The sequence below is a fragment of the Homo sapiens genome, chromosome 6, assembly GCF_000001405.40.
Source record: "Homo sapiens chromosome 6, GRCh38.p14 Primary Assembly".
Taxonomy (NCBI): domain Eukaryota; kingdom Metazoa; phylum Chordata; class Mammalia; order Primates; family Hominidae; genus Homo; species Homo sapiens.
The window spans coordinates 160,474,001-160,486,193 of record NC_000006.12 but is presented as its reverse complement, the minus strand read 5'-3'; the positions used below and the strand labels follow the sequence as shown (position 1 = coordinate 160,486,193).

The following is a 12,193-nucleotide window of genomic DNA, read 5'->3' as shown; positions in this document are numbered from 1 at the left end:
TTTTATATGAAATATTTAGAAGAACTTACTACATTTCCAGAATGGTAGGAATCTGTTGCTTTTGTGTTTGTTTGTTTTCTCATGTCCATCTGCTTACAAATAAAAAAAAGAGAATGATTGTAATTCTTGAAGACTCATTTCTGGTTTGTGGCATTGATAGCTTCATCTGTTTCCCTGTCCTAGGAAATACTCACCTTGAATTTTTCTGTTTTAATTCAGCACTGATTGATCCAAGGCCTTCAATGTAGGAGTGCTACCATGGAAATGGACAGAGTTATCGAGGCACATACTTCACCACCGTCACAGGAAGCACTTGCCAAGCTTGGTCATCTATGACACCACACCAGCACAGTAGGACCTCAGAAAAGTACCCAAATGCGTACGTCTTTGTTCTTTACCATAAGAGAAGGAAGGGCCAACTGAAGTTTCTTTTAGAAGACTCCTGCTTTGAGATAACTGCTCAGGACTCTACTTGTCTCAGATGCAGAGGGCATAGCAAAATGTCTCAGGAATATTGCCTTGGAGCAAAGGGTCTGAGAGAAGAGAAATGTTAAGCTGACTCTCCTTCCTTATAGCTTTATAGAGCAGGAGGATATCTGGAGGCGAGAAGATCACATTAAGAAAAAGATAGGATCACAAGCTACCAAAAGTTTAGAGTTCCTTTCCACAACACACTCTAAGGGCCAATGCAGCCTTTTTGCCTTAAAATTCTATCATTCTAACCTTGATTTCCTGAAGTGAGGGTTGTGTTGGCCTTTTCTATCTTGGATCTCGAAGAAAGCATATGTGCATATCTATGGAGAGGTAAATCTCTATCTATAAATATCTATGTATCTTTCAATCAGCAGAAACACACTGGGTCCTGAGCACCAGTGGTCTGAATAGGTCCAGGTTTCCAAGAAGAGACGAACAAAGGCAAAAAGACAGATGAGACTCAGGAGAGAGACAGAGACTGAAAAGTAAGCGAGGGGGTTAGATAGATGCACAGAAGCTGGGGTCCCACCATCCAATGGCAAGTCTCTCTGCCATAAGTGGCTACCAAAGACATGAAAAAAATGGTCATGACCACAAATGACCAACTACTAACTTCTCCATAGCTGCCTAACCTCTTCAGATCTCATAGTCTATTCATCCATCTCCGTTTATGCCTTGGGACCCACTGTTCCTTCAACTCATCCCCCATTCCCTCAGTCCCGGAGTGGCTGCGGCCAGTAGAAGATGGACTGAGAGCAGGAGAGGAGGTCATGTACTGGGACCCATCCTAGAGATACTGCATTCTGCCTGGAAGCTAGTTTTGCACGGAAGCTTTAATAAGTCTTGCAGAAACAAACCTTTCTGACCCACCTGATACGGTATCGACAGACAGTAACACTATTTGCATGATGGTTTTCCATGATAATAACATAGAGCCTTTTTGCTACATTTTGAGCACAAAGAGTTAGAAAGCTGACCTGGGATTGATATCATCCTGGATACCATTATTTCTTTGAGGAACTCTATGTTAGTTCCACCTCTCACAATACTATATGAAGTCCTATAGAGAGAGATAAAGACAGCTAGACAGATCGAGATACTCTTGTATGTGCATAAATGATTCCACAATACACACGTCAAAATCCATACCAGTTATTCCAGAGAGATGTATTGGCCAAAGGTGGAAGGACAATATTCTGATCCCTTCCAGGCCACATGGATGTACTATTTCAGTGTTTCCAAGAAGCATTGCAAACAACAAAAATAAAACAGTTAAAATCCATTAATTATTGGAAATGTGCAGAGTGGATGAGAATTTGAGAACCATTCATGCTTGTGGCAATTGTATGGTACTTTTAATGGGAATATTTCAAAGGCCCTGGTTATGACCTTGTTACAGCAAAACGGAGAGGGTGCTGGGTGCCCCTGCATATTGTCCCACCTCTTGTGACGTATATCCTTTTGGAATTTCCAGTGACTTGATCATGAACTACTGCAGGAATCCAGATCCTGTGGAAGGCCCTTGGTGTTACACGATGGATCCCAAAGTCAGATGGGAGTACTGCAACCTGACACGATGCTCAGACACAGAAGGGACTGCAGTCGTGCCTCTGACTGTTATCCCGGTTCCAAGCCTAGAGGATCCTTCCAAACCAGGTAAGAAGTCTGTGGCCAGACATCTCCACACTTGGACACTGGGTAGAAAAGCCTTTGAAACTCCCATTGTTGCAGAAGCCTTCAGTGCTACGCACGTGCTCACATGTTGGTTGATGGTCTGTCATGTTGGAAGAATCCTCAGGGCACTCTGGGGGGGAGCCAGACGAGTGATTTTTGGTGCAACGTGAGTGGGCTGTGTCTTTAGGATAGGCACGAACCCTCCAGGTTGGTGGACTTCACCACTCACCTTGTTGTCAAAGGGGTTGGGCCAGTGTCCTAGCCAAAATTCCTATTGTCACATGCTGTCAGATGTGTGACTCTTTCGAAGCGAGTCACTTGTCCAGGGATTTCTTAAGGTAGACAGCGTTCATTGCAATCTTCAGCACTGCAGATTCCAGGAAATGTGGCTCTCTAGCTTGTGAATCTCGAGAAACCTAACAGGCGGCATTAATTCCATATCGCCCTGGGTCTATGGAGCAGTACATGAGCTTCCTCAGTCCCAGGCAGGCTCTGCAGTCCTAGGCTTTGAAGTGAGTGATTTCTTAGTGTTCTGACACCTCCTTCTGATGGAACTTGTACCTGTGTGTGCATAGTGGGGAGGGGTCTGGAGAGAAAGATTAGTAGACTTCTGCTTTATTACGATGCAGAATGCGGGACACGAGAGGATTCCATCCCTCCTCCAAGGGGATAAGATTTTGGCCTCCAACCATCCCTAAGAGGCAAAATGTTTTTGCCTGCAGTCTTAGTTGCAGAACTGTTTTCTGCCCGATTGCCCAGAAGCTGAAGGCCTTGGCTCCCGTGATCAACACTTTAGGGAAATACGCAATGTTTCCATGTCTGTCCCCACCTCCACCCTTGATAGCCAATCACCACCTACAGCCCACACCGCCAAATGCACAGCCCTTTGTTCTCTCATGCCCCATGGTTCCCGTGAACATTCAGTAGAGATCCCTAAAGACCAGCTTGCCTGTGAGCACAGTTTCCTATGAGAAGCATTCTGATCTGCTGTTTTTCTCTGAGCTTTTACAGGAAATAGTTCTATGAATGTACTACACTTCTAGAATGGTAGAAATCTGTTGCTTTGGTGTTTGTTTGTTTATGTTCTCATGTCCATCTGCCTAAGAATAGAGAAAAGAGAAGGGTCGTAATATCAGAAACTCCTGCCTGGTTTGTGTCATAAATGGCTTCACCTGTTTCTCTGTTCTAGGAAATACTCAGCTTGATTTTTTCTCTTTTAATTTCAGCACCAACAGAGCCAAGGCCTTGGGAGCAGCAGTGCTACCACGGTAATGGACAGAGTTATCGAGGCACATACTTCACCACTGTCACAGGAAGAACCTGCCAAGCTTGGTCATCTATGACGCCACATCAGCACAGTAGGACCCCAGAAAAGTACCCAAATGCATACGTCTTTGTTCTTTACCATAAGAGAAGGAAGGGCCAACTGAAGTTTCTATTAGAAGAGTCATGTTTCGAGCTGACTGCTCAAGACTCAACTTGTGTCAGATGCAAAGGGCATAGCAAAATGTCTCAGGAACATTGCCTTGGAGCAAAGAGTCTGAGAGAAGAGAAATATTAGGCTGGCTCTCCTTCCTCCTAGTTTTATGGAGCAGGAGGATATCTGGAGGCGAGGAGATCACATTAAGGAAAAAGTCAGGACCACAAACGACCAAACACTTAGAGTACCTTTCCACACCACCCACTGAGGGCCAATGCAGCCTTTCCACCTTGGAATACTATCATTCTAACCTCCAATTCCTGAAGTGAAAGTTGTGTTGGCCTTTTCTGTCTTGGTTCAAGAGAAAAAAATATTTGCATATCTATGGAGAGGCAAATGTCTCTCTTTCTGTATCTACGTCTTTTCCAATGGGTAGAAACACACTTGGTCCTGAGCACCAGTGCTCTGACAAGATACAGGTTGCCAGCAAGGGAAGAGCAAAGGCAAGAAGGCAGATGAGAGTCAACAAAGAGGCAGATGCTGAAAATTAAGCCTGGTGGGTAGATGGTCAGAAGCCCTGGTCTGACCACCCTGTGTCCAGCCTCTCTGCTGTAAGTGGCTACCAAAGACATGGAAAAATGGTTTCTGCATGTTAGACAACAGACGGTAGAGGACCAAGAGAATTGTGAGAGGGGGAACAATGCGATCAACTCCATAAGTGCCCTCCCTGGCTGTCTTCTTGGAGACCCTTCCTGCACTGAAGAGCAGGGAGATGGAGCACATGTGGACTGTAGCTATCTTGCTGAATGGAGGAGAGAGACTGGAGTTTGGGATTACTCAGGTAGCTAGGATTTTTCTAGGCCTGCTAAGAATGAGAGCGGATGTGTGGAGGAAAGGAGCTCTGGGAATATGCATAGAAGTCTCCTCAAGTCATTGGCTAAACATGAAGCTGCTTGTGCACAGAAAAGGGCTCCACAGGAGAGTGGGGCCAAGGACATCTACTGAGCAACTACAAGGGGACAACTATGAGAAAACAGCATCTACAAGGAAACAGTGAGCTCAGTAAAGATGACAGTGCTCACATAGCACTAGCGGATATTAGAGTTCTAACCAGCCAGAGGAGAGAGAAGTCACTGAACATCTTGGGCATTCAGTAGAGACCCCAGAAAAGCCAGACTTTAAGGGTAGAATTAATATATTCCTAGAATAAAGGCAGCTCCAGACAAAACCTAGCTGAGCCTAAAGGCAAATCTCTTAAGCATCAAAAAGGTTTCCAAGTCAATTAACTGCCTGCTAGAGGAAAACACAACCCTCCTTAGAGGTAAACAGCAAAATCAAGTGGCTCAGCTATGCGGTATCGACAGTGTGAGTCCTAAATTTAAAAACTCCCTAAACATAGAAAGCGTTGGTTATGACCCACGACCAGGAGAAAAATCAGTCAATACAAATAGGCCCAGAAATGACAGGAATGATTAGAATGGCATAAAAATTGGACCTATCAGTGTGTTAACTGAGTTCTAGGATTTCAGAAAATATGAGTATGGAACCTAGCAGATGTAACATCAAGAGAAAGTAACAGTATAAAAGAGCAATATCAAATTAGAACTCTAGTGAAAGGTATGCCTTAAATCAAAAAAGTACTGGGTGGCCTCCTCATCCAGTTAGAAGTTTCAGAAGAAAAACTAACTGAAAGAAAATTTATAGAAACTACAGAAACAGCTACGCGTGCGCGCGCACATGCACACACACACACACAGACACTCACACATGCACAAGCTTACAAACACACACAAACACACTCACATCCACAAATCCTGAAAAGTGAAATCAACCAAGCCTCACAGACACAAAGGAAAATATAAAAAGGTTTCCTACCTGTGAGAAGCAAGGCACAGAAGGAGAGGAAGGTGATACTGAAACAATAACAAGTACCTGAAGCAAGAATGGCTGAAAACCTTCCTAATATGAAGAACGTTAAGTAATTACAGATTCAATAGGCTCAGTGGATCAGAAAGGGAATTTTCAAAAAGAAAACTGTATGAAGCACTTTGGTACATCACAGTTTGACTCTCAGAAGACAAAGATATAGTATCAAGAAATATCTTGTGAGAAACTGTAGGAAAAAGAGCTGTGTCTTGCTAGAGGAACGGTGATACAAATGGCTAATGTGTTCTCATCAGAAACATGGCAAACTGCAGGCAAAGGAATATCATTAAAATGATAAACAGGGAAAAGAAGAGATCAACCGAGAATGCTACATCCAGCTATACACTGCCTTGAAAATCATCAATGTTGTATAATTGCATTTTGTGCACCCCCCAAACAAGAAATCCGAAAGCTATGAGAATTTGGAATCAGCAGGCTTATGTCACAAAAGATGTGGCCCAAAGGGAATTACGTACAAGAAGAATAGTACAAGGTGGGAACTTTCTGCATCCCACGTATTGAAGAACCCAGCAAATGGCAAATGTAGATGTAAATGCAAAAATATTTTCTTGATCAAATTTCGTAATTGCCTTAAATTATATTTGACTGCTTGAAGCAAAATGACAGCAATATGTATTATTTTAGCATATTTGAAGTAAAAATTTGAAAATGTAGCATAAATCGTGTAGGGAATAAAGAATTATACCATTGTAAGTTTCTTGCCTTACCTATGATGGTACATAATAAAAGTTTGAAATATTTGGGTTCAAAGAGATATTGCAAATTCTAGAGTAATCACAAAATTGTGAACACTGAGGTATATTCTATGACAAGAATATTCCATATGTCAAAAAGAAGGCAGCCAAGGAAGAAAAATAAGTCAACTGCTCGGCTCTGAGCACATCCAAATGCTCAGAGAACAAGCTTCTTGAATGGAGGGTCTGTGCTTGAGACTAGGTCACATGTGTAGTCTCTTGAGAGAGAGTGTTGGATCCCCATGGCACATAATACATTTCCCGTTTTCACAGACAGCCACAGGTCATGAATGCGAGAATACTGAGAGGTTGGAGCAATGTTCCTGGGATTCATAAGGGGGAGCAAATGCTCCAAGATACACCCATCGCGGGTTACTCACCACCTTTGCCTCTTACTCCATTGTTTTCTGACTCCTCTGCGAATACATAGAGTAAGGGGGCTGGCCTGGGAATGGTGTCATGTTGGATGCCATTTCTTCCCTGAAGAAATATATTTTGATTCCAATTTACATGTTACTGTAGAGTCCTAAAGAAGGATATAAAGAAGTAGACAGATATCAATATATTATATATTTTTATGTGCATTAATAAAATCTAAGATGCACACTTAAAAAATCCACATCAGTTTTCTGGAGGAATGCAGTTGGCAGAAGGAGAAACATATTCTGATCTTTTTCCCTTTTTTTTTTTTTTTTGAGATGGAGTTTTGCTTGTGTTGCCCAGGCTGGAGTGCAATGGTGCGATCTCGGCTCACTGCAATCTCTGCCTCCTGGGCTCAAGGGATTCTCCTGCCTCAGCCTCCCAAGTAGCTGGAAATACAGGCACCCACCACCACTCCCAGCTTATTTTGTATTTTTACTAGAGACAGGGCTTCTCCGTATTGGTCAGGTTGGTCTCGAACTCCCGACCTCAGGTGATCTGCCTGCCTCAGCCTCCCAAAGTGCTGGGATTACAGGTGTGAGCCATCGCACCCAGCTCTAATTTTTTTCTTGTGTACGTTTATGCATGATCTCAGTTTTTAAATGGAGCATAGACTATTTTTGATTTTTTAAAATATACATTATAATCTATCTTGGAAATTTACACTCTTCTTTAGAACTTGAGGACCATTTTTGCCTTGGGAATATCATTTTACCTAAAATGGGAATATTCAAATGTCACTTTTTAACACTTTATTGTAACAAAATTTAGACAGTGCTGGGTGCCCCTGAATTTTTTACCATCTCTTGTAACCTGTATTGTTCTGGAATTTGCAGTGGCCTGACCAGGAACTACTGCAGGAATCCAGATTCTGGGAAACAACCCTGGTGTTACACAACTGATCCGTGTGTGAGGTGGGAGTACTGCAACCTGACACAATGCTCAGAAACAGAATCAGTGTCCTAGAGACTCCCACTGTTGTTCCAGTTCCAAGCATGGAGGCTCATTCTGAAGCAGGTAAGAAGTCTGTGGCCAGACATCTACACATTTGAACATTGGGATGAAAAGATTTAAAATCTGACAGATGCAGAAGCCTTCCATGCTACTGAGAAACTTGATGGTTGGTTGAGGTTATGCCGTGCATAAGGAAGCCTCAGCACCCTCTCTGCTCTAGCAAGAGGTGTAATTTTTGGTGCAATGCTAGTCAATGGTGTCTTTAGGAAGGGTGCAACCCTCCAGGGCGCTTGACTTACCACTCATCTTGTTAAGTGAGTTATCTTGGTGTCCTAGACAAAATTCCAGTTCTAACGTCCGGCCAAATTTGTGCCAATTTTCACACCAGTGAGTGTTTCCAGGCCTTTCGTAAAATGGGCAGTGTTCATTGCAATCATTGCATTGTGGTTGCTGAGGTATGTGGCCGCTGAGTTTGTCATCCTGGAGAAACCTAATATGATGACATTTATTCCATCTAATCCTGGGGCTATTTGACACTACATAACCACAGAATGCATTATTTCTCTGGCTTATCTTAGTCTTAGGTAGGCTCTGCACACCTATGCTTGGAAGGCAGGAATTTCTTGGTGTTCTTGCGCCTTCTTCTCGTGGAACGTGCATCTTTGGTGTGTGTTGAGAGGAAAGGTAGTAGACTTCTGCTTTGTTGCAATGCAGGGTGCTGGAACAAGAGGATTCCCTGTCTCTCCTGTAAGGGAATAAGATTTTAGTCTCCATCCTTCTCTAAGAAGCAATGTGTCTTTGCCTGCAAGTACTAGATGCAGGACCATGAACTGCCCCGTCCACCAGAAGCTTAAGGCTTTGGCTTTTCAGGAGCAATGGTCTAGGGAAATGTGCAAGGTTTTCCTGTCTGTCCCCCACTGACAGCCAATCACCCAACAGCCTGCATGGCCTAATCCATCACTGTCTGGTTTCCTGCCTTGTTGTTCTCATGAACAATCAGTAGAGAGCCACACAAAAGAGCTTGCACATGAGTCTTAGTTGCAATTGTAAGAACACTGATAGGTCCTTTCCCCACCAGATTTTGAATATAACATTTCTAAGAACTTATTAAAATATTAGAATGCTATTAATCTATTGTTTTTGCTTCAGCATGTCCTTCTGCTTGCGAGTATTCTGAAGAGAACAGTCATAATTCTGAAACTACTGTCCTGTTTGTGTCATAAATTGCTTCACATGTTTCTGCGTACTAGTAATTACTGAGCTTGATTTTGACTATTTTCAGCACCAACTGAGCAAACCCCTGTGGTCCGGCAGTGCTACCATGGTAATGGACAGAGTTATCAAGGCACATTCTCCACCACTGTCACAGGAAGGACATGTCAATCTTGGTCATCCATGACACCACACCGGCATCAGAGGACCCCAGAAAACTACCCAAATGAGTATGTCTTTGATGTTACTTGTAAGAGGAGCAACAGCCAACTTAAGTTCCTCCTAGAAGAGCCTTGCTTCAAGCTAACTTGTTAGGACAAATTTCCCTTAGACCCAGAAGGTGTGTCAAAATGTCCAAACAACTTTGCTTTTGATCAAAGAGTCTGAGAGAATAGGTATTTTAGGCTTGCTATCTTTTCTAATAGTCTGATGGAAGCAGAAGGCTACATGGAGCTGATGAGGTCTTTTTAATATAAAGCTCAGGAGAACAAACGATCAAATAGAGTGCCATTCTACAAGGCTCATAAAAGATCAATGCAGTCTTTCACCCATGCAATTCTATCATTCTAACCTCCCTTCCCTGAAGTGAAGGTTGGGTTTGCCATTTTTGTCATGGGTCACAAGTAAATAATTCACATGTGTGTGCATATATATAGAACCAGGTGTGTTCATACAGACTAGTATTCATATATATGTGCTCATATAGGTTGGTATTCATATATGTGTTCATACAGGCAAGTATTCATATATGGTCTAGGGAAATGTGCAAGGTTTTCATGTCTGTCCCTGACTGATGACCAATCACCCTATAGTCTGCACAGCTGCAGGCTATATAGCTATACAATCTGCAGGACACACACACACACACACACACACATAATATAACTATGTGTGTGTGTGTATATATATATATAGTTATATATAGTTATATATATACACCTGTGTGAACACACTGGGTTCTAAGCTCCAGTTTTCTGAAGGGATATGGGTTGCCAGGACAGGAAGAGCAAAAGCAAGAACGTAGATGAGAGTCAGTCAGGAAGTAAACAGATGTACAGATTAAAACGGGCCGGTACATGGACAAAAAACCTGGTCTGACAAAAACTGGCTTTCTGCCATAAAAGACTACAAAAGATATACAAAAAAACTTTCCACATGTTGGACAAGAGACAGTACAGGACTGAGATAATTTAGAAAAGGAAATGAATGAGCGCAACTCCATAACTATTATGACTTTCTTCCTGGAGAACCTTCCTGGACTGAAGGGCAAGGAATTGGAGCCAAAGCCAACCACAGCAGTCTTGCTGAACTGAGGAAAGAGACTGGAGTTTGGGATAGCTAAGAAAATGTGTATTTTCTATGCTAGGTAATAATGAGAAAGAATTTGTGGTGAAAAGGAGCTGAAGGAATATGCATGGAAGTCTAATATAAACTGCATATGCACAGGGAGAAATTCTACAAAGTGGGACAGAGAACCACTACTGGGGAAAGGACAAATTCAGGGAAACAGTGAGCTCAATGGTGACGCCAGAGCTCACGTAGCACTGGGGGATACTGGGGTTCTGATCAGCCTAAGGAGAGACACCTCATTGAACATCTCGGGCATTCAGTAGAGACCCCAGGAAAGTCATACTTTAGGAGCAGGATTTATGCCTTCTTAGAATAAAGGCTACTCCAGAAATACCTTAGCAAAACTTAAAAACCAAGTCTAAAAGGATCCAAATAATCTCCAAGTAAATTAACTGCCTGACAGAAGGAAACTCAACCATCACTGGAGGTAAATAACTGGATCATGGTACTCCGTAATGTGACATTCACAATGAGTGACATAAATTTTAAAATTTAATAGGCAAAAAAAGCAACCATAACTGGGAGAAAAATCAGTCAATACAAATAGACCAACAAATAATAAAGACAATGGAATTGGTAAAGAAATTCAAACTGTGTATATATGATAATTGTGTTCAAAGATTTAAAGAAAACATGGACATAAGAGAAACAAGTGCAGAATACCAAGAAAAAAGCAACATATAAAACAACCAAATGGAAAGTAAAGAACTACAAAAAAGTACGTCCTTAATAAAAAATTCACTGGGTGGTCTTACTCTGAGTTTATACATTGCAGAAGAAAAAGTGAACTAGAAAATAATGCAATGAAAGTCATACAAACAGTCACAGAAGAACAGGAAAGAGATATTGGGACAGAAAAAAATAATGAAAGCAATGACGGCTGAAGACTTTACAAATATGAAGAAAATTATATACTCACAGTTAAGAAGCTCAACTAATCAGAAATAGAATTCTTAAAAGCAAAAATTTATGATTTACTTGGGTATATCATGGTTAAATTGTCCAACATCAAAGATAACCAGGGTAATCTTATTATAAGCTAGAGGGGAAAAAAGATCATTTACATAGAGGAACAGTGATGCAAATGACTTATGCCTTCTTCTCAGAAACAATGAAATAACATCTTTAAAGTGATTAGAAAGAAAAAAAATCAGATCAACCTAGGACAACATGTCCAGGAAAAAAAAAAAAACCTTGAAAATAAATGTGATGTAAATACGTATTCTGCCACCTCCAGAGGAAACAACCAAAAACCAAAAGAATGTTTCCACAGCAGGCTTCTGTAATAAAAGATGTTAAAGAAAGCCAATTAGGTAGAAGAAAAATAATACCAGATGGAAACTTTAATCCATACTAAGCAATGAACAGCCCTGGAAATGGCAAATGTCAATGTCAATATAAAATACTTTTTTTTAATTTAAAGGACAATTTGTGATGTGAATTAATAAGAATATATTGTAACATATGTAAAAGTAAAATTTATTTTAAAAAAGTGGCATAAATAATGTAGAAGATAAATGGAAATATACTGTTATAAGCTTTTTGCATTACCCATGAAGTTATATAATATTAATACATGGTTGAATGTGATAGTTTAAGGTGAGATATCATAACTCCTAGGAAAACCACAAAAACTTAAACTGAGAGGAATGGATAATAAGAGGAATAGTTCACTTGTCCAAAAGAAGGAAGCAAAGGAGGAATAAAGGATAAAAATGATATGGTGTACACAGAAAATTCATGGCATTGTGGTAGATATAAACTGAACCACCTTATGACCACCTTATGAGTATATTAAATATAAAATGATTAAACACTACAAATAAAAGGCAGAGACTGTAAATTGAATAAAAACTGCAGCCTAATTGTGTTCTTTTTATAATAAATGCCCTTTCAGTGTAAAGACCTACAAACAGCAAAATATGAAAAATGATATATACCATGAAAACCTGAATCATAAATAAACTGGAGTGGTAATATTTATAACAGACAAAGTTGATTTCAGGAC

General features: G+C 41.0%; 1 pseudogene across 2 annotated transcripts in view; it reads left to right on the top strand.

Annotated features, from left to right (window-relative positions):
• The window catches only part of LPAL2 (lipoprotein(a) like 2 (pseudogene)), a 44,570-nt pseudogene that overhangs the window by 24,931 nt on the left and 7,446 nt on the right, over positions 1-12,193 (top strand). For both annotated transcript variants that reach the window (NR_028093.1, NR_028092.1), the window contains exons 5-9: positions 220-379; positions 1,949-2,130; positions 3,375-3,506; positions 7,506-7,686; positions 8,906-9,065. The product of NR_028093.1 is annotated as a lipoprotein(a) like 2 (pseudogene), transcript variant 2 (transcript). The remainder of the gene's footprint in view (positions 1-219; positions 380-1,948; positions 2,131-3,374; positions 3,507-7,505; positions 7,687-8,905; positions 9,066-12,193) is intronic.